At 54.5% G+C, this 21,493-nt stretch overlaps 2 protein-coding genes across 21 annotated transcripts in view, besides 3 other annotated features; one reads left to right on the forward strand and one right to left on the reverse strand.

The window, feature by feature from the left end:
• SIRT6 (sirtuin 6) lies at positions 732-9,186 on the reverse strand. Of its 10 annotated transcripts, none has more exons than NM_001321060.2 (8): positions 9,097-9,186; positions 7,405-7,532; positions 5,727-5,909; positions 3,702-3,761; positions 2,465-2,560; positions 2,303-2,383; positions 1,651-1,734; positions 732-1,569 (listed from the first exon to the last, which is right to left on the reverse strand). In NM_001321060.2, exons 1-8 carry the CDS (start codon positions 9,160-9,162, stop codon positions 1,521-1,523), a joined length of 747 nt encoding a protein of 248 aa, NP_001307989.1. In that variant the 5' UTR covers positions 9,163-9,186; the 3' UTR covers positions 732-1,520. The 10 variants fall into 10 exon arrangements, with proteins under 10 accessions (NP_001307989.1, NP_057623.2, NP_001307993.1 ...); NM_016539.4 differs by having other exon boundaries at positions 1,651-1,774; NM_001321064.2 differs by lacking the exon at positions 9,097-9,186 and adding an exon at positions 8,834-8,929.
• Positions 9,160-9,249: an enhancer, noted in NCBI's record as "active region_13759". NCBI's record gives its function as "activates an Ori minimal core promoter by ATAC-STARR-seq in GM12878 lymphoblastoid cells {active_cell/tissue: GM12878}" and the evidence as "EXISTENCE:reporter gene assay evidence [ECO:0000049][PMID:35858748]".
• Positions 9,312-21,493, forward strand: part of ANKRD24 (ankyrin repeat domain 24) — a 42,126-nt gene continuing 29,944 nt past the window's right edge. For 4 of the 11 annotated variants that reach the window (XM_011527756.3, NM_001393985.1, XM_011527758.3 and 1 more), the window contains exons 1-2: positions 9,312-9,363; positions 13,013-13,084. In XM_011527756.3, the coding sequence (XP_011526058.2) occupies positions 9,358-9,363; positions 13,013-13,084 (78 nt within the window). In that variant the 5' untranslated portion in view covers positions 9,312-9,357. Of the gene's footprint in view, positions 9,364-9,976; positions 10,101-10,810; positions 10,931-11,240; positions 11,351-12,896; positions 13,085-21,493 lie in introns of those variants that run through there. The other 7 variants (NM_001393552.1, XM_024451405.2, NM_001393553.1 and 4 more) reach the window with 4 other exon arrangements.
• Positions 9,320-9,369: an enhancer, noted in NCBI's record as "active region_13760". NCBI's record gives its function as "activates an Ori minimal core promoter by ATAC-STARR-seq in GM12878 lymphoblastoid cells {active_cell/tissue: GM12878}" and the evidence as "EXISTENCE:reporter gene assay evidence [ECO:0000049][PMID:35858748]".
• Positions 12,868-12,987: an enhancer, noted in NCBI's record as "active region_13761". NCBI's record gives its function as "activates an Ori minimal core promoter by ATAC-STARR-seq in GM12878 lymphoblastoid cells {active_cell/tissue: GM12878}" and the evidence as "EXISTENCE:reporter gene assay evidence [ECO:0000049][PMID:35858748]".

Below are 21,493 nucleotides of genomic sequence, written 5' to 3' on the forward strand. Positions count from 1 at the left end.
CTAAGGTCACAGCTGGGGAGAGTGGAACCCGGCTGCTCCTGCGCTCGTCTGTGGGGTCGCCCCCACTGCGGGCTGTGCGCGCCTGCCCGGGCGCCATCGCAAAATCGCGCCCAAAGCACAGGTGGGGACTCATAGCCTGGGGGTAAATGTTAAACAACAACAAAAAGCATGTGCATAAGTGTATAACTACAAACTGAGTGCTCAGAAAATGCCAGCTGCCTTATTGGCTTCATCATCAGAAAACTGGCCTGATCCCTCCAGAGGCGGGGTGGGGGGAGAGGTGAGCCCTTGTTCCTCGGCCCCCAGGCTTGAGGGGCAGGGATTGCAACGGAGCCCAAGCAGCTGGTCCAGGGAGGAGGGGACCACGAACTCCTGACCCAGGGGGGCGAGGACCTGCCACAAATAGGGAATTTAAACACTCACTGGGCACAGTGGCTCACGCCCGTTAAGTCCAGCACTTTGGGAGGCCAAGGTGGCCTGACTGCTTGAGCCCAGGAGTTTGAGACCAGCCTGAGTCACATAGTGAGACCCCCATCTCTACAAAAAATGCAAACAATTAGCTGGGTGTGGTGGCACACACCTATAATCCCAGCTACTCTGGAGGCTGAGGCAGGAGAATTGCTTGAACCTAGGAGGCAGAGGCTGCAGTGAGCTGAGATCACGCCACTGCATTCCAGCCTTGGTGACAGAGTGAGACTCTGGCTCAATAAAATAAAGTAAACACACTGAGATGCAAGAAAGAAATTGTTTTTATTGCATTGAGGACTTTTCCAGAAGCCTGGTGGACCCACGTCTCCCTCCAGCCCCAAAGGCAGTGCAAGCCTCTACTGATCCCCCACTTCAAGGTGGGTCTCCCCTCCTGCAGGGCCCATGGAGGAGGGGTAGGGTGGGCTGTAGGGGGCCCAGAAGGGAGGCCCTGGGGACAGAGGGAGTTCACTCCTGTTTAAGCTGGAGACCAGGGAGGGCCCAGCCTCACCTCTGGACAACACAGCAAGTCAGAGGCTGGGGTGTGGCAGGGGCTCACCTGTCACCTCTGGGGTGTGGCTTCTTCCCGGAACCGCACCAGAGGCCCCTGGAGCCCAGGGAGGGACCACGGAGGGCAGGTGTAACCCCTGGCCTGGAGCACAGCTCTCAGAGCCCTGAGGCTCCCGGGGACAGAAACAAGTAACAAAGTGAGACCACGAGAGAAAAAGAATCCACAGTTTCTACAAAAAGCCCCACCCTCCCCAAGCACCCTGGTCAGCTGGGGACCGCCTTGGCCTTCACCCTTTTGGGGGGTCTGTGGGGGGCAGGGCTGGTGGGCCGCTCCCGTTTGGGGCTGGCGGGCTCTGAGCCGTTGTGCTGGGCGCAGGGCTCCTGCTTGGGGCCGGCGGGGATAGAGCCGTTGATCCGGGTGGGAGATTCCTCCTTGGGCTCCAGCTTGGGGGTGGGCGGGCGGGGCAGGGGTGGCAGCGCCCTCTCCAGCACACGGGGGCCGTCCCAGGCGGGGATCTCCAGCCCCAGGTGCTTCATGAGCCGGGTCATGACCTCGTCAACGTAGCCATGGATGCGGAGGTCAGCATGGCGGTCCTGCCGAGGGGCGGGACGGGTCAGGCGTGGGGGACAGAGGGTGCATGGTGGCCCTGGGCAGGGGTAGGCTCAGACACCTACGTGCTTGGTGGGCTGCAGGTTGACGATGACCAGGCGGCCTCCCCGGCGCTTGGTAGCCAGCGGCAGGTTCCCGCTGGGCCGGATCTGCAGCGATGTACCCAGCGTGATGGACAGGTCGGCGTTCCTGGGGCCGGGGAGCGTGGGCTGAGCCTGATGCCCTGCTCCTGCCAACATCCCGAGCCAGCCCTGGGGGCCGGTTCACACCTAGGCCATCTGTGCTCACCGGGGCGGTCAAGGCCAGCCCCACTCCCGAGTCAGCCTTTGGGATCCCGCCCTGCCCTCCTCTGCGGTCCGTTGGCGGGGTCATTGATCTGGGCGGGCCCTTAGACACTTCCGGGGAGTATCACAGTGTGGTAAGAGCTTGGACACCTAGGGTGGGACCCTGGCTCGGTCACCTCCCGGCTGGGCAGCACTGGATAGAGGAGACACCTGGCGGAAGCCTTGGTTTCCTTGTGTAGCACCCACCCAGAGCCATGAGGTGACGAGTGTGTGTGAGTGCGTGTGTGCAGCCCCTGGCCTGGCCCACCTGCTCCAGGAAGCCTCCCCTCACTGCCTGTGAGCCTCAGCCACTGTCCCATGCTGGAGCTGGCTGTGTTTCTGCTGTCGTCCCGCCCCGCCCCACCATGGGCTCCCTGGGGGTGGGGGGTCAGACCTGCTGGCCTCATCGGCGAGTGCCAGGTCCCGGTCGGGCAGGGAGTCCTCCCAGTCTAGGATGGTGTCCCTCAGCTCTCCCCTGCAATGAGGAAGCTGAGGAGAGTCCTCAGGGGCCTCGCAGCCTCCCCTGGAGCCCAGGGCATGGGTGGGGGTGGCTCACCTGCAGGCTCGCAGCCCCCTTGCCTTAGCCACGGTGCAGAGCCGGCCCGTGGCCTTCAGGCCCATGGTGCCCACGACTGTGTCTCGGACGTACTGCCTGTGTCAGGGAGGAAGGGGGAGGATGGGACCAGGTGAGCTCCCATGGGTGACTCTCGCACTGTTTCTAGGGTGACGTTCTCCCAGGGAGGTGGGGGGTGGACAGGTGACCAGAACTAGCACCCAGCGACACGGAACGAGTAGCCTTCCATGAATAACGGGCTGGGATGCTGCTCGGTGCCCGGAGCACAGAAAACAAAGCAGGAAACTGTCCCAGACAGACGAAGGGGCTCGAGAGACAAGACCCAGCATGGGATCCCGGACCAGGAGAAACAGGAACAATTGGAGCATGGGGGCGACAGGCCGAGTCTGGATTCGGGATTAGAGAAGGCGATGTCCACTTTACTTTTCCTGACTTTAATCGTTATACTGGGCCGGGCGTGGTGGCTCACGCCTGTCATCCCAGCACTTTGGGAGGCTGAGGCGGGCAGATCACAAGGTCAGGAGTTCGACACCAGCCTGGCCAATATGGTGAAACCCCGTCTCTACTAAAAATACAAATATTAGCCAGGTGTGGTGGCGGGCGCCTGCAGTTGCAGCTACTTGGATGGCTGAGGCAGAATAATTGCCTGAACCCGGGAGGCGGAGGTTGCAGTGAGCCGAGATTGCCCCACTGTACTCCAGCCTGGATGACAGAGCGGGACTGTCTCAAAAAAAAGGAGAAACACAGAGATAAGAAGGCCCCTGTGGCTGTAGGTCCAGGACCACCAAGGGTGGCTGGCTGCCACCAGCAGCCAGGAAAAGGCAGGAAAAATCCTCCCCTACAGGTTGCAGAGGGGCATGGCCCTGCAGACACCTGGATTTTGGACTTCTGGTCCCCAGAACTGTGAGATCACAAATTTCTATTGTTCTACGCTGCTCATCTGTGGCAGGTTGCTACAGCAGTGCCAGGACACGGATGTACCCCCCACAGGAGGGAGGCACGGCCCCCCCAAATCCCTCCAGGAGGAAGACATGCCCCCCAAATCCCTCCAGGAGGGAGACATACTCCTTATATCCCCCCAAGAGGGAGACACGCCCCCAGATCCCCCCAGGAGGGCCACACCCCAGTCCCCCCATACCCTCTGGGTCTCTGGGACATCGGATTCGACCCCCAACCCCCTCTGGCAGAGCCCCCACCCCTGCACCCAGGTGGCACTCACGTCTTACACTTGGCACATTCTTCCACAAACATGTTCCCGTGGAGCTCTGCCAGTTTGTCCCTGTGGGAAGAGCAGGAAGAGGCTTGATGGTGGGAAAGGATCCCTGGATGCCCAGGCTTTGGAGCTGGTGCTAAGCCCCTCTCCTCCAGGAAGGCTTCCCGGACTCCTCTCCCACAACATTGATCAACTCCTTCTTTCTGGCTCTTCTAGCTCCTGGCTCCACCATTCATCTGCTGTGCATCTCTGGGCAAGTGGACCAACCTCTCTGAGCCCAAGGAATCATTAACCCCCAAGGCTGAACCCACCTTAGATAACGGGAAGCCCTTTCCACTCACAAAATGCCCGTCCCCCTCCGAGAGCATATGGGAACCTCTTGATGTCACCAGGTCAGAAGCACAGGAATTCAAATTCCCAGTTTATAATGGAAGAAACCGAGACATTGAATGGCCCTGAAGCATGAGATCCAATCCCAGCTTTATTTTATTTATTTATTTATTTTGAGACAGAGTTTTGCTCTTGTTGCCCAGGTTGGAGTGCAATGGTGCAATCTCAGCTCACCACAACCTCAATGGCACAATCTCAGCTCACCACAACCTCTGCCTCCGGGGTTCAAGTGATTCTCCTGCCTCAGCCTCCTGAGTAGCTGGGACTACAGGCGCCCGCCACCACGCCGGGCTAATTTTTTGTATTTTTAGTAGAGACAGGGTTTCACCGTGTTAGCCAGGATGGTCTCGATCTCCTGAGCTTGTGATCCACCCGCCTCGGCCTCCCAAAGTGCCGGGATTACAGGCGTGAGCCACTGTACCCAGCCTAATTTTTCTGTTTTTAGTAGAGACGGGGTTTTACCATGTGGCCGGGATGGTCTCGATCTCCTGACCTCATGATCCGCCCGCCTTGGCCTCCCAAAGTGCTGAGATTCCAGGCATAAGTCACCACACCTGACCCTCCTTTGCTTTTTTTTTTTTCAAGACAGAGTCTTGCTCTGTCACCCAAGCTGGAGTGCAGTGGCGCCATCTCGGCTCACTGCAACCTCTGCCTCCCGGGTTCAAGCGATTCTCCTGACTCAGCCTCCCGAGTAGCTGGGATTACAGGCATGCGCCACCACGCCCAGCTAATTTTTGTACTCTTAGTAGAGATGGGGTTTCAACATGTTGGCCAGGCTGGTCTCGAACTCTTGACCTCGTGATCCGCCTGCCTCGGCCTCCCAAAGTGCTGGGATTACAGATGTGAGCCACCATGCCCGGCCCCTCGTTTGCTTTTATAAGCAGAGAAAAATCTCTTCCTCACCCCTCACCCCTGGCTGCCGAGCTCCTCGTCTCAACAACTGACCTGGCTGTCATTGGTTGCCCCAGGGGTGAGACCTGGCAAAGAGGGGCAGGGGAGGGCCACACTTTTATTGGGAAATCAGCCTGCCCCAGAGCACAGGTTCACTTCAGTGTCAGACACGTTTAGTGTCAGATTAATAAAGATGGATATTAAAAACACAACAGGCCAAGCGTGGTGGCTCACACCTGTAACCCCAGCACTTTGGGAGGCTGAGGCGGGCAGATCACCTGAGGTCAGGAGTTCAAGACCAGCCTGGCCAACATGGAGAAACCCCGTCTCTACTAAAAATACAAAATTAGCTGGGTGTGATGGCGCATGCCTGTAATCCCAGTTACTAGGGAGGCTGAGGCAGGAGAATCGCTTGAACCTGGGAGGCTGAGCGGAGATCACGCCATTGCACTCCAGCCTGGGCAACAAGAACGAAACTCGGTCTCAAAAACAACAACAACAACAAAAAACAAACTGCAACTTCTAGACCCTGACAGCTCTCCTCCCCTTAGCCCCATCTCGAGGGAAATTCTGCCTCTGGCCTCAGCCGGGACAGCTCTGAGCCATGGGACTCAGAGATCTCCACACACTGGGCCAAGAACTCAGGGCTAGAATCTTATAGAACCAGGAAAAGGGGACTCTCCCCCTAAAAATGCAAACACGGTTTGTGGGGCCCCAAGCTCTTTTGTGGGGGCGGGGCCAGGGTGTTACCTGGGGAAGCCTGAGCGCACATGGAGCCCGTCCACGTTCTGGCTGACCAGGAAGCGGAGGAGGCCCACGCGCTCCAGCTGCACCAGCGCCATGTGGGTCTGCGTGGGCCGCGCGCTCTCAAAGGTGGTGTCGAACTTGGGGGCCAGACCTCGCTCCTCCATGGTCCAGACTCCGTGGGGACCCCTGAAGGTGGCAGGCCGGGAGAGATGGACGGGGAGAGGGGAACAGAAAAAGAGACAGAGGGAGAATCAGAGAGGTATAGAGAGAAAGTTGGAGAGAGAGAAAATCAGGAGACAGAGAGAGACAGGGAGACAGAGAGAGGGAATCAGAAACAGAAATAGAGGGTGAGTTGCAAGAACAGGGAGAGGGGGATAGAACAAGACACAGACAGAGAGATAAAGAGTTAAAGACAAAGCAAGTCAGAGACAGAATTGGAGAGAGACAGAGAGAGGGAGAGGCAGAGAGAGAGAGATGAATTCACACGAAGGCAAAAATGACTTATTCTATTCAACCAACACTGCTGCTGCAATGAGCCCGACGATGCTCACATGGGCCCAAGCCCTGCCCTCCAGAAGCCCTTGATCTTGGGGGAGACAGGTGGACACAGATCCTCTGGCCCCAAGAGTCAAGCCTGGATCAGAGGAGGTACCTGGGCCTGGGGAAGCCCCGTGGAGGTGGGGGCCCTGGGGCACGTGGAAGGGCTTCCTGGAGGAGGCTAAGCAGTTTCTTGAAGGGTGAGAGGGAAGATCAGACAGAAGGGGTAAACAAAGGCCTGGGTGCTGGGAAGAGCCCATGAGTTTAGGAGAAAATGCAAGTGTTTTGGGGGCTGCAGCAGGAGCAGGAGGGGCTGAAGTTGGAGAGGTGATTCAGGGCTGGGGCAGGAAGGGCTTCAGCTTCCAGCACAAGGTATTCAGAACTCTACACTGCCTGGCAATGGGGAGCCACAGCAGGTTATGGAAGAGGAGAAGGAGGAGAAATTCACGCCTTGGCTTTTTTTTTTTTTTTTTTTTTTTTTTTTTGAGATGGAGTCTGGCTCTGTTGCCCAGGCTGGAGTACAATGGCATGATCCTGGCTGACTGCAACCTCTGCCTCCCGGGTTCAAGCGATTCTCCCACCTCGGCCTTCCAAGTAGCTGCGATTACAGGTGCCTGCCACCACACCTGGCTACGCTTGCAAATATGAAAGACTACATTTCCCAGCAACCCTTGCAGCCAGGTGTGATCAGGTGACCGTGTTCTGGCCAATGAGGTGAGTGGAATGCTGGTTGTGACAAGGGACACATCTTTTTGTTTTGTTTTTAGACGGAGCCTCACTCTGTCGCCCAGGCTGGAGTGCAGTGGTGCAATCTCGGCTCACTGCCTCCACCTCCCAGGTTCAAGCAATTCTCCTGCCTCAGCCTCCCGAGTAGCTGGGACTACAGATGTGTGCCACCACAACTGGCTAATTTTTGTATTTTTAGTAGAGACAGGGATTCACCATATTGGCCAGGCTGGTCTGGAATTCTTGACCTTGTGATCCACCATGCCCAGCCAAGGGACACATCTTAAAGGGAGTACCCAGGACACATCCAGGAGGAAAGCAGATGGATGTGTTCTCATTCCCAGATGTGTGTGGCTCGCAGGGAAGCCTCTGGCAGCCTGGTAGGCCTTGCCTCGACTTCCCCTGCACAATCACAGACCTGAAGTCGGGGATGCCAGAGGCAGTGCTGATGCCGGCACCCGTGTGGAACACCACACTGGAAGACTGCCAGACCAGCCTCGCCAGTTCCCACACCTTCCGCTCCAGCTCCTCCGGGGGGTCGAAGATCTGTGGGGGGAGAGAGCAGACGGAGGGGTCAAAACAGTTCCCCCAAGTGGCAAGGCCACGCACGAGCCACAGACTGAGCTGTCCCTGTCTTGCCTGAGGGAGGAAAATGGATTGGAAAAGGCAGCTTGTCCTCATGCCCCTCCTCTTCCTACAACCTTCCATGCCTCCCACCTGCCTTGTCAAAGCCCTAGCCCTTCCCACGGCCCACCAGGCCCTGCACTACCTCCCTTGCCCCCTCCCTGCCCTCTTCTCCTCCCTCTCCCTGCCTCACTCTGCTCCAGCCACACAGGTCTCCTCCTTGTTCCTCTATCACACCAGGCACAGTCCCGCCTCAGGGCCACACCCTTTAATGCTCTTCCCCCAGATACCCACATGGCTCCCTCCCTCACCTCCTGTAACTTGTGGCTTAGATGTCACTTCAGTGACAGTGATGCCTCCCTTGGCCAACTGGTTTCCATGCAACCCCTAGTCAGTCTCCCTTACTAGAAGGAGGGGTTTTTAATCTGTGTTGCTCCTGGCTGTGGCCTTAGTACCTAGAAAGTGCCTGAGCTACAGTAAGTGCTCTATAAATGTTGGTGGAATAAAGTGACTAACAGGCCGGGTATGGTGGCTCACGCCTATAATCCCAGCACTTTGGGAAGCCAAGGTGGGTGGATCACTTGAGATCAAGAGTTCAAGAGCAGACTGGCCAACATGGTGAAACCCCGCCTCTACTAAAAATACAAAAATTAGCCAGGCGTGGTGGCAGGTGCCTGTAGTCTCATCTACTCTACTCAGGAGGCTGAGGCAGGAGAATCGCTTGAACCTAGGAGGCGGAGGTTGCAGTGAGCCGAGATCGCGCCACTGCACTCCAGCCTGGGCGACAGAGAAACTCCATCTCAAAAATATAATAATAATAATAATAAAGTGACTAACAGCAGCAGTGAAGAGTGGGGCTTCTGGACGGGCGCACACCATCAGCGCTCATTAAATGCATGAGTCAGAATGCATGGGCCAGCCTTATGGAATGGGGCCATCTTCACCTCGTTTGCAGAAAGTTTGGAGATGGAGACCCAAAAGGGAAGTGACTTCCCCAAAGTCCCACAGTGCGTGGAGGGGGCAGCCGATCCCTCCACTTCCCCTCTGAGTGGCTGGAGGGATCTTTCTGGCACATTCTGTCCAGTCCCCTCGCCAGGGCAAAACCCTTCCCCATCACCCTCAGGATAAAGTGCCAACTCCCCAGCCTGGCATTTGAGCCCCGTCCTGGCCCGGCTCTGGAAACCTCCCAGGCCTAATCGTTCTCCAGGTGTGTTTATTCCCACCTCCCTTTGCGCCTGTCGTCCCCTCTTCCTGGAACTACATCCCCTCTCTCCCCGATCAGCCCCGACAGGGTGACCACAGAGTTGGGCGTGTTGGCGTCCCCCGGCGCGCAGGGGCGTCACTTCCCGCCCCTTCCTCACTGGGAAGTCCCTCCCATTGTCTAGCCTCAGTGCCCCCTGATATTCCCACAATGCCCCCCTGCCATCCGGCCGCTCCCAGCCCGCGGCCCTGGGGCGCGATGCTCGGGACCCTCAGACGCGCTCACCTCCGGGAGGCCGCACTTGCCCTTGTCCGCGTACGGCGACAGCCCCGCCGCGTAATTCACCGACATCCTCGACTGCCCCACGGGAACAATAAAGTTTCCCTTGTTGAGGCCGCTTCCGCCGGAAGCGGGGCGGGGCGGGGAAGAAGGAGGAACCGCGTTCCAGTCCTGCGCACCCGGCCTCCCACGGCAAGGCGCATGCGCCTCTTGCTGACGCCGCAGGCGACATGTTATCTGCTGTCAGAAGGAAGCCTGCCTCTTTGCATGCAGGTGTTTGCGGGGCTTGGGAAGGGGCTCCCCGATGACCCGGGCGGGAAATTGGGGCGGCCGCCTACGTGAGAGTTCTCCAGTCACCTCTAAAATGCGGGACACAGGCTATCCATGTCCCCACAACCCCTTTTACGGATTAGTAAATTCCGTAAGGACAGAGCCGGACAGCAGGGACCCCAGCCTAAGGGTTTTGAATGCCACGCAGAGTTACCTGAATATCTCATTTGTGTGTGTGTGTGTGTGTGTGTGTGTGTGTGTGACGGAGCCTCGCTCTGTTGCCCAGGCTGGAGTGCAGTGGCGCAATCTCGGTTCACTGCAACCTCCGCCTCTTGGGTTCAAGCGATTCTCCTGCCTCAGCCTCCCTAGTAGCTGGGATTACAGGCGCCCGCCACCACACCCAGCAAATTTTTGTATTTTTTAGTAGAGACGGGGTTTCTCCATGTTGGTCAGGCTGGTCCCGAACTCCTGACCTCAGGTGATCTGACCGCCTCGGCCTCCCAAAGTGCTGGGATTACAGGCGTGAGCCACTGCGTCCGGCCAAGTTATCTGAGTATCATCCAACTGGAGGTTCTGCATTCTGCAGGACAGGTCCTGCTCAAGGTCAATGGGGCTGGTGGCCTGGAGGACTCATTTAAGAATCATGTGTTGAGTACCTACTTTGTACTGGGCACACTGGAGAGCAAAGGTGGTACCATCTATGCCCTGGTGGCTGCGGGTGGACACAAACATGTGACCAGGTAATGGTGACATGGTGTGGTTGGGGTGCAATGGGTGATGCAGAGGGCACAGGGCAGTGAGGGGGCTCACAGGAGGCACCTGACCCAGGCTGGGGGCATCCGGGAGGGCTTCCTGGAGGAGGGGATGTTGCAGCAAAGATCTAAAAAGTGAGTGAGCCGGGCGCAGTGGCTCACACCTGTAATCCCAGCACTTTGGGAGGCCAAGGCAGGTGGATCACCTGAGATTGGGAGTTCGAGACCACCCTGACCAACATGGAGAAACCCCGTCTCTACTAAAAATACAAAATTAGCTGGGTGTGGTGGCCTGTAATCGCAGCTGCTCGGGAGGCTGAGGCAGGAGAATTGCTTGAACCCAGGAGGCGGAGATTGCGGTGAGCCGGAGATCGCGCCATTGCACTCCAGCCTGGGCAACAAGCATGAAACTCCGTCTCAAAAATAAATAAATAAATAAATAAAGAGTGCATGAGTCAGGTAGAGCCGGTTGGGGTGACATGAAGTACAGAAAGAATGTTCCTGGTGGGGGGAACAGCAAGTGCAAAGGCTGAGAAAGAGGAAGAGCATGGCTCCTTCCAGAAACTGAAATCAGTCCAGTGATGATAGGGAAGATCGTGGGTGTCTTCCCGCCAGAGCCAGTTGGCCAACAGGCAGTCCGCTGCCAGCCTGTCTCCTCCCTCGGCTCATCCCCGGCCCCCTGGGGCGGCCGCCTGCTCAGAGCCGATCAGGTGTCAGAGTGGAGCGGCTGGAGCTGCTCGTGGCCCAGCTGGGAGTGGGTAACCGGAGCCGGCAGTGGGCACTGTGGCCGGGAGCTCGGGGCACTGGAGCTGCAGGAGGTAGGGGAGGAAGGAGGTGGGAGAGGCCCAGGACGGAGGATCCCCTTATGGCCCCAGGCCCCTGAGCCCTTGTATGTGGGAGAAAGAAGCCGTGCTGAGTCCTAGCCAGGCTGCGGAGCTACCCAGGTACCCTGACACACACATGCACTCGTTCACCCACGCACTTCCCACTTGCCGGCCTGTGCCCTGCCTAGCTTCCTCCAAGGCAGGTGCTCAACATCCCACCCGGCCATCAGGCCCTTCTTATTTACCATCACCTCTTCCAGCAAGCAGCTTCCTAAATTTAGCAGGCGTTTCTCCCTCCCCCAAGCCCACGGATTGTCTTCTCCCAAGCAGCCTGTGAACTCCTCTGTTGGGTGTCTTATTACCCCCTGCTTTGGGTGTGATTGAATCCTCCAGTCAGAGGTAGAAGAAAAAAGGGTAGGTAGTGAGTGAATGGGCACCGGTGGAGGGGTAGATGAATGGATGGGTGGGTGGATGGATGGGGGGCGAATAGGTGGATTGGTGGTTTGGTAGATGGGTGAATGGGTAGATGTATGGATGGATGGGTGGATGGATGAATGGGTGGGTGATTGGGCAAATGGATGGAGGGATGGATAAGTGGATGGATGGATGGATGGAAGGATCCATGGATGGACTGGTGGGTGGGTGGATGGATGCACTGGTGGGTGGGTGGGTGGATGGATGGATTGGTGGTTGGGTGGGTGGATGGAGGGATGGATAAGTGGATGGATGAGTGGATGGGTGGGTGGGTGGATGGGTGGATGGGTGTGTGATTGGGTGGGCAGATGGGTGGATGGATGGATGCTTGGGCAGATGGATGGATGGGTGGTTGGGTGGATGGATGAAGGGATGGATAAGTGGATGGATGGGTGGATGAGTGGATGGATGAATGGTGGGAGTTGGTAGGTGTTTGGGTGGGTGGATGGATGTGTGGGTGAAATCTGATTAAAGGGTGATGAAGAACCATGAGAACATGAATTGGGTGGGTGGGTTTGTGGGTGGTGGCCAGTGGGTGGTTATACAGTGCTTAGGTGGGAGGATGGATGTCCAGGTGAGTGCATAGGTGGTAAATGCGTGGAAGGGTGGCTTGGAGAATTCACGAGTAGATAGGTGGACAGGTAGAGGCCATGCCAACCCCTACTCCTTGGTAAGAGGCAAATACAGATTCTCCATCACAGAAATCCCTTTCACACATAGGGCCTCACAGTCACACCCCTCAAAAAACACACCCCCTCAAGATAGGCCTGCCTGACCTCCGTGCCTGCCCATGCGGAACGTAGAACAGGCCCAGGTGGACAGAAGTGCACGTGTGCACACGCCCCACACTCAACGTCACACACATGCATGCAGCCATTGCCCCAGACCTCCACCCACTATGGGTGAATTGCTGTCACATGGAGGTTCCCTCTGACTATGTAGCAAACATGCCTCTGTGCTGAGAGCCGTCAGCCCTGGCTTCAGTCCCCAGGGAGCCCCTGACTGTTGAAAAGGACAGAATCAGCCCAGACCCTTCCAGCCCATGGAGCCAGGGGTGAGGCAGAGGCAGAGACCCAGCCAGGGTAGGCGGGAACCCAATTTGGGGAGTTAGATCTCTGCTTGGGAACAAGAGGCAAAGCTGATAAGAGCAAGGGATTTTGGAACTGGGCTTTGAAGGATGAGTAGGAGTTCAGAGAAGAAAAAAGAAACCATTCTAGGCAGAAATAACTGCACAGGTAAAAGTTAGGAGACCAGAAAAGGCTTGATCTGTTTGGACCGCAGGAAATACCAGTGAGATGCATTTATGAAGCCCCTCATGTTTGGCCAGGCTCTGTGTAGGGACCATGCTGAAAACTGACCATGAGTTGGTCAAGAAAGGATCATTTCTGTCACTGTATAGATGAGGGAAGTAAAACAGAGAGGGCAAGTAAACTGCCAAAGGACACACAGCAGGTAGGAGATAGAGCAGGTCTGTGTCTTGCTCTAGGGGCCAGGACTGGTCAGGAAGGAGGAAGCGGTCCTTTTGAGGAGGGCGAGGCAACGGACCCTGCCGCCCACCAGGACTGGTGTCCCTCACCTTACCCCCACCCTTGCCCTCCTCAGGTGGCCTGTGGAGAGGAGAAACACAGGGCACCAACTATGAAGACTCTCAGGGCGCGATTTAAGAAGACAGAGGTGAGTGTGAGGCCCTAGATGCCCGATACACCCCTGCAACTTCAGCCTTCTGTCTCCTGGGGCTTGGCTGAAGATCCACCCTTTCATTCCAGTACCCACCTCTTCTCCTTTCCTCTCTGCTGCCCCCTAGCGTCATGACCTCCCCACTGCTCCCCGTACAAGCTTTCCAGCCCAGGCCTTTACCCAGGCCCTAGTCCGCTCTCCATGGAATTCCTTCTCGCCGCATTGCCACCAATCAGACCCTCCTAATTCCTCACAATTTGGCCCCAGTACCACCTCCCCGTCCAATCTCCGCTCTCCCCGGCCACAGTAACCCCTTGCTTTTCCAAGGACCCACTTTCCCGAGGATCCTGATCTTTTGCTTTGGTGTGTGTGTACTCAGCACATATTTATATAGCAGGCGCTGTTCCAGGCACAGGGGAATCAGCCAGGGAATAGGGCAGGCAAAAATCCTTGCCCTCGTGGAGCCGACCGCTGAGTACGGGAGATGAACACGAAACAAGATAAATAAGTGACAATGTGTATTTTGTGTCGCAAAGACAGACAAAGCAGGAAAAGGGAATTGAAGCATTCAGGGCAGGGGAGGTGGCTGCAGTTTTAAAGAGGGTGGCCAGGGAAGGCTTCCCAGAGGAGGTGGTATTAAAGCAAAGATTAGAAAGGGAAGGGGAGGGCTGGGCGTGGTGGCTCACACCTGTAATCCCAGCATTTTGGGAGGCCAAGGCAGGCAGATCACGTGAGGTCAGGAGTTCAAGACGAGCCTGGCCAACATGGTGAAACGTTGTCTCTACTAAAAATACAAAAATTAGCTGGGCACGGTGGCGGGCACCTGTAATCCCAGCTACTTGGGAGGCTGAGGCAGGAGAATTGCTTGAACCTGGGAGGTGGAGGTTGCAGTGAGCTGAGATTGTGCCATTGCACTGCAGCCTGGGCAACAGAGTGAGACTCCATCTCAAAAAAGAAAAAAAAAAGAAAAAGGGAAGGGGAGTGGGGGAGAGAGTTTGCAGGAATTGCATTCCAAGTGGCTGGAACAGCCAGTGCAAAGGCCCTGAGGTAGATCCAGCTGTCTTCTCTTGCATCCGTGTCTTTGGCTATGAACTCCTAGAAAGACATGCTTCTTCCTCCATTGTCCCCATTCTTCTCAGCCCCCTCAAGTCCCTGTGGCGGCCAATTCAGGGCACAGATGGGGAGGATGAAAGGGAGGGCTCACCTCCAGGGACAGGCAATCAGCCTTCCTGAGCACCTCTTTGTGCCTGGCCTGGGTGGGCAAGCTTGACTTGGAGCCTTTAGTTTTCGTATCATGGGATACAACATCCCCATCTGGTGTGGCCTGGAGAAATCAGGGAGTCTGCCTGGAGGAGGTGGCACCGGAGCAGAGCCTGGAAGAATAGGGAGGATTTAGAGAAGTGAAGGCAGGCACGTGAGGAGCGGGGCACGGACCTGTGTGGGTAAAGATTCGGAGGCTGGACCAGGTCTGCTTGATGCACAGGCATAACAGGCAGATTCTCTTGGCAGGAGCAGAGAGTGCGAGTGAGTGGGAGCTCAGGATCTTTGAAAGCCATTTTTGAAAAGCCAAAAAGAGAGGCCTGTGGAACAAGCCTGGATTTCATTTTTTATTTTATTTTATTTTATTTTTGAGATGGAGTTTCCCTCTTGTCGCCCAGGCTGGAGTGCCGTGGCTTGATCTCGGCTCACTGCAACCTCCACCTCCCGGGTTCAAGTAATTTTCTTGCCTCAGCCTCCCGAGTAGCTGGGATTACAGGCACGCACCACCATGCCCAGCTAATTTTGTATTTTTAGTAGAGGCAGGACTTCACCATGTTGGCCAGGCCGGTCTTGAACTCCTGACCTCAGGTCATCCACCCGCCTTGGCCTCCCAAAATGCTGGGATTACAGGCATGAGCCACCACGCTTGGTCCATTTTTTTTTTTTTTTTTTTTTTTGAGACAGAGTCTCTTTCTGTCACCCAGGCTGGAGTGCAGTGGTGCTATCTCAACCGACTACAGCCTCCAACTCCTGGGCTCAAACGATCCTCCTGCCTCAGCCTCCCAAAGTGCAGAGACTATAGGCGTGCACCACCACACTGGGCTAATTTTTATTTTTTGTACAGATGGGGTGTAGCTGTGTTGCCCAGGCTGGTCTTAAACTCCTGGCCTCAAGCGATCCTCCTAACTCCCACCCAGAGTGATGGGATTACAGGCGTGAGCCACTGCGCCCAGCCAAGCCTGGGATAGAATCAGGTGGCTCTGAGTTCAAATCCTTCCTCTGTCCCTGGTGTCCTGGGTGACTCTGGGGATGTCATGCCCCCTCTGTGGCTTCCTTCAGTTGTTTGGGCTCATTTGATTTGATTTGATTTCATTTATTTTTGAGACAGAGTCTCACTCTGTTGCTGAGGCTGGAATGCAGTGGCACGATCTCTGCTCACTGCAACCTCTGCCTCCTGAGTTCAAGCAATTCTCCTGCCTCAGCCTTCCAAATAGCTGGGACTACAGGCGCCTGCCACTATGGCTGGCTAAATATTTTGTATTTTTAGTAGAGACAGGGTTTCACTATGTTGGTCAGGCTGGTCTCGAGCTTCCGACCTCAGGTGATTTGCCCGCCTCAGCCTCCCAAAGTGCTGGAATTACAGGCGTGAGCCACTGCACTCCGCCCATTTTATTTTGTTTTTAAACTATTTATTAATTATCATGTACCCATTCATTTCATTATTCATTTTTATTTTATTTAAAACATTTTAATTTAATATCATTGGATTCACTTTATTTTTTTTAATTTTTCTTTCTTCTTTTTTTTTTTTTTTTTTTTTTGAAGGAGTCTCACTCTGTTGCTCAGGCTGGAGTGCAGTGTTGTGATCTTGGCTCACTGCAAGCTCCACTTCCTGGATTCAAGCTATTCTTTTCTTATGCCGCAGCCTCCCAAGTAGGTGGGACTACAGGCACGCACTACCACGCCCAGCAATTTTTTTTGTATTTTTAGTAGAGATGGGTTTCACCATGTTGGCCAGGCTGGTCTCAAACTCCTGACTTCAAGTGATCCACCCACCTTGGCCTTCCAAAGGGTTGCCATTATAGGCATGAGCCACCATGCCCGGCCCTAAGTTTTTTTTTTTAAGAGATGGGGTCTCACTATGTTGTCCAGGCTGGTCTCAAACTCCTGGGCTCAAGAGATCCTCCCGCTTCAGCCAAGTAGCTGGGACTACAGATGTGCAGTACTGTGCCCGGCTTATTTATTTTCATTTTTGTTGATTTTTGAGCACTATAAAAAATATAAGATGTGCTTTGCAGGTGTCAGCTCATTTAATCCTCACCACCGTGTTATGAGGCAGGAGCTTTTATTATCTTCATTTTATAGATGAGGGAGGGAAGCCCAGAGAGGTTAAGACACCTGCTCAAGGTCACACAGCTAGGAAGTGAGACACAAGCCTTCCCCCAGGGCTGCGTTACTATGAACATGATTGGCCTGGAGGTGGGAGGGGAGTGCATTGATTGAAAAGAGAATGGGTGGAGACAGACAGCGGGAGAGAAAGAGGTGAAAAACGGTCCATTAACTGCCTACAAAATGTGGCATTGGGTGAGCTTCATTCACTGTGGAGTGATCCTAAAATTTTTCTTCCCACGTGGACTCAATTCCTCGATGATAGTTGACCCTTGAACAATTACAGCCCACCCTCCTGCACAGTCAAAAATCCATGTATAGGCTGGGCGTGGTGGCTCACATCTGTAATCCCAGCACTTTGGAAGGCCGAGGTGGGTGGGTCACGAGGTCAGGAGATCGAGGCCATCCTCATTAACACGGTGAAACCCCGTCTCTACTAAAAATACAAAAAATCAGCCGGGCGTGGTGGCGGGCGCCTGTAGTCCCAGCTACTCGGGAGGCTGAGGCATGAACCTGGGAGGTGGAGCTTGCAGTGAGCCGAGATGGAGCCATTGCACTCCAGCCTGGGCAACAGAGCGAGACTCCGTCTCGAAAAAAAAAAAAAAATCTGGCTCGGCATGGTGGCTCACGTCTGTAATCCCAGCACTTTGAGAGGCAGAGGCGGGCAGATCACCTGAGGTCAGGAGTTCGAGACCAGCCTGGCCAACATGGTGAAACCCCCTCTCTACTAAAAATGCAAAAATTAGCCAGGCAGCCGGGCATGGTGGTGGGCACCTGTAATCCCAGCTACTCAGGAGGCTGAGGAAGGAAAATCTCTTGAACCCAGGAGGCAGAAGTTGCAGTGAGCCGAGATCACGCCATTGCACGATTGCCCAGCCTGGGTGACAGAGCGAGACTCCGTCTCAAAAAACGAACAAAAAAATCCATGTGTAAGTGGACCTGGGCATTCAAACCCATATTTTTCAGGGGTCAACTCCTGAATGCTTTTTTTCCCCAAGCATTCCTCAGAAGTAGTAGCCACTGGTAAACCAAGCCATATGATTGCTTAATTTCCAAAGCATAGTTATATTTAATATTTAAGTAAATCTTTCAAGAAGTGTGGGTGGCTAAAAAAGAGATACCTCATTCGGGATGTGGGTGTGTTTTGATATGTTTGCAATGGGAGGGGTCGGGACAAAGTCAAAATTGGATGGGGACAGGATAGGTGTTAAAACCTCAGACGGGTGTGAGGGCCTCTGAGAGTGTCTGGAGCTGGAGGGGCCTGAGGTTAGCCCATAGCCTGGGCTGGAACTGTTGCAGCAGATGGGAGGCCTGGCTGTTGCTGGGAAGCTGCAGGGCCTCCATCCTCCCCTCCCAGAGCACCTTGCCATCCATCCCTCCACCTGCCCTTCTCCAGTTTCGCAGCAGGCAGCCGGAGTCAAGTTCAGCTTTTGTTCAGCAGCCCCGAGGGAAGAAAGCAAACACCCATGACTGCAGGGGCCAGGCCCCCCCCTCCTGTCACTGGGACCTTGTGTTCCGTGTCTTCTAGCCACTGCTACCCCTCTCCTCCTCTCCTTAGGGCACTCTCCGGCCTTTCCTGGTCCCTAACACCGGCTTTTTCTTATTTATGTATTTACTTTTATTTTATTTTCTTTCTTTTATTTTTATTTATTTATTTATTTATTTTTGGGACAGAGTCTCGCTGTGTTGCCAGGCTGGAGTGCAATGGCATGATCTCGGCTCACTGCAAGCTCCGCCTCCCGGGTTCAAGAGATTATCCTCTCTCAGCCTCCCGTGTAGCTGGGATTACAGGTGCACGCCACCACACCTGGCTAATTTTTGTGTTTTTAGTAGAGACGGGGTTTCATCATGTTGGCCAGGTTGGTCTCGAACTCCTGACCTCAGATGATCCGCCTGCCTCAGCCTCCCAAAGTGCTGGGATTACAGACGTGAACCACCGTCCCCAGCCTATTTATTTATTTATTTTGAGACAGAGTCTTGCTCTGTTGCCCAGGCTGGAGTGCAGTGGTGTGATCTTGGCTCACTGCAACCTCCGCCTCCCGGGTTCAAGGGATTCTCCTGCCTCAGCCTCCCGAGTAGCTGAGATTACAGGTGCCTATCACCACGTCTAGCTAATTTTTTTTTTTTGGTATTTTTAATAGAGATGGGTTTTGCCATGTTGGCCAGGCTGGTCTCAAACTACTGACCTCCAATGAGCCATCCGCCTCAGCCTCCCAAAGTGCTGGGATTACAGGCGAGAGCCACTGTGCCCAACCAACACCGTTTCTTTCTTTGGGGTCCCAACAGTTGGCATTGCTTACTCTGATCCCCCTTGGGCTGTCCGTGGGCCTCAGTGTTTCCATCCATAAAATGGGAGTTACCTGGAGCTGTTCACTTGGGGCTTCACTGACCTCCTGCCTTTACTTTAGGTTTCAGGAAAATCTCCCAAGTGGGAAGATTGGGGTTTCTAGAGAGTCACAGACTCCATACATCAATGCTTCCTGGAAAGTCCTCTTTCTCTTTCTGTCTTTTTTCTTTTTATATTTTTATTTTTTACTTAAGTATGCATTTTTTTTTTTTCAGAGGTGAGGTCTTACCACGTTGCCCAGGCTGGTCTTGAACTCCTGGCCTCAAGCGATCCTCCCGCCTTAGCCTCCCAAAGTGCTGGGATTACAGGCGTGAGCCACCGCGCCCGGCCAGGCCTCGTATTTTCATTTTTCACCGAGCCCTGCAAAACCTATAGCTGGTCCTGCATGGAATACAGCAGTGACTAAGATAGACAAAAATCACTGCCCCTGAGGAGGTGACATTCTAAGGGAGAGATCAAGAGGAAACAAGCTGGGCGCAGTGGCTCACGCCTGTAATCCCAGCACTTTAGGAGATCAAGATGGGAGGATCACTTAAGCCCAGGAGTTTGAGACCAGCCTGGGCAACATAGCAAGACCCCATCTCTTCAAAAAAAATTCAAAAATTAGTTGGGTATGGTGGTGTGTGCCTGTGGTCTCCAGTTACTCAGGAGGCTGAGATGGGAGGACCACTTGAGCCCAGGAGGTCGAGGCTACAGTGAATGATGATTGTACCACTGCACTCCAGCCTGGGTGACAGAGCAAGACCCTGTCCCAAAATAAATAAATAAATAAAAATAAAAAATGAGAGTAAACAGAATATTTTTAAAAAGGTATGTAGTATCTTAGGTGGTGATAAGAGGCCTGGCGCAGTGACTCACGCCTGTAATCCCAGCACTTTGGGAGGCCGAGGTGAGTGGATCACTTGAAGTCAGGAATTCGAGACCAGCCTGGCCAACACAGCAAAACCCCGTATCTACTAAAAAATACAAAAATTAGCCAGGCGTGGTGGTGGGCACCTGTAATCCCAGCTACTCAGGAGTCTGAGGCAGGAGAATCGCTTGAATCCGGGAGGCAGGGGTTGCAGTGAGCCGAGATCCCTCCACTGCACTCCAGTCTGGGCAATAGAGCGACTCCATCAAAAAAAAAAAAAAAAAAGACAACAATGAAGGAAAAATATAGCTAAAGAAAGGGCTGTCAGAGAAGGGCTCTTGGAAGAGGCATCTCCAAGAGTGGACAGCAGTAAAGAAAGCAGCCATGTGCACGGTGGGGCAGGTGCTCCAGGCAGAAGGAGCTGCACTGGCCAAGGCTTGGAGGTGGGACCCAGCTGTTTGAAGGACAAGAAGGAGGCTACTATGGCAGCATGGATTACACCGAGGGAAATGTAAATGGAGATGATGGCAGGCGCGGTGGCTCATGCCTGTAATCCCAGCACTTTGGGAGGCTGAGGCGAGCAGATCACCTGAGATCAGGAGTTCAAGACCAGCCTGTCAACATGGTGATACCCCGTCTCTACTAAAAATACAAAAATTAGCCAGGCATGGTGGCGGGTGCGTGTAATCCCAGATACTCGGGAGACTGAGGCATGAGAATCACTTGAAGCCGGGAGGTGGAGTTTGCAGTGAGCAGAGATCATGCCACTGTACTCCAGCCTGGGCGACAGAGCGAGACTCCGTCGGGAGGGAGGGAGGAAGGAAGGAAGGAAGGAAGGAAGGAAGGAAGGAAGGAAGGAAGGAAAAACTCCATGAGGTCAGGGGTCAGGCACTGGCAGAGTGGGGCTGCTCAGAGAAGGGTTAGCAAATTTTTTCTTAAAAGGCCAGAGGATTAATATTTTTGGTTTGTGGTGCAGACCAGCCTCAGCTCTGCCATTGCAGCCTGAGAATAGCCTTTGACTGTCTACACTTTTTTCTTCATATCCTGCATGTGGCATCCAACGATCTACAAATGAATGGGCAGGGCTTGGCCCCGAAAAAACTTTATTTATGGACACTGAAATGTGAATTGTTTTGTTTTGTTTTGTTCCGAGATGGAGTCTGGCTCTGTCACCCAGGCTGGAGTGCTCTCAGGTTACTGCAACCTCAGCCTCCCACTTTCAAGCGATTCTCCTGCCTCAGACTCCCGAGCAGCTGGGATTACAGGCGTGCACCACCGTGCCCAGCTAATTTTTGTATTGTTAGTAGAGACGGGGTTTCACCATGTTGGCCAGGCTGGTCTTGAACTCCTGACTTCAGGCGATCAGCCCACCTTGGCCTCCCAAAGTGCTGAGATTGTAGGCGTGAACCACCGCACCTAGCCAGAAATGTGAATTTCATATCATTTTTCACGTGTCAGGAAGGATGATTCTTATTTTGCTTTTCTCTCCCCCCTCCAACGACTCACACGTGTAAATACCATTCTCTACGGAAACAGGCAGTGGGCAGGATCTGGGCTGCTGTGAGCAGTTTGCATTTTAAGCTGAGTGAGGTCTCTGGAGGCTTTTGTGCAGGAGAGATGAGATCTGATGCAGGTTTAGGAAGCTGCCTCTGGCTGCTGGGGGAGAAGGGACAAGGGGACAAGGTCAGAGGCTGAAGAAGAAAGATGCATCCCAGAGGCAGAACCTGCAGTGATGGGGCTAGACTATGGTGGTGGCCGTGGAAGGGGTGAGAAGGGGCAGAACAGGACACAGTGTGCAGCCAGTGGGCTTGGCCGGTGGACCGAGTGTGGGGCAAGAGAG

The sequence above is a fragment of the Homo sapiens genome, chromosome 19 (assembly GCF_000001405.40).
Source record: "Homo sapiens chromosome 19, GRCh38.p14 Primary Assembly".
Taxonomy (NCBI): Eukaryota; Metazoa; Chordata; class Mammalia; order Primates; family Hominidae; genus Homo; species Homo sapiens.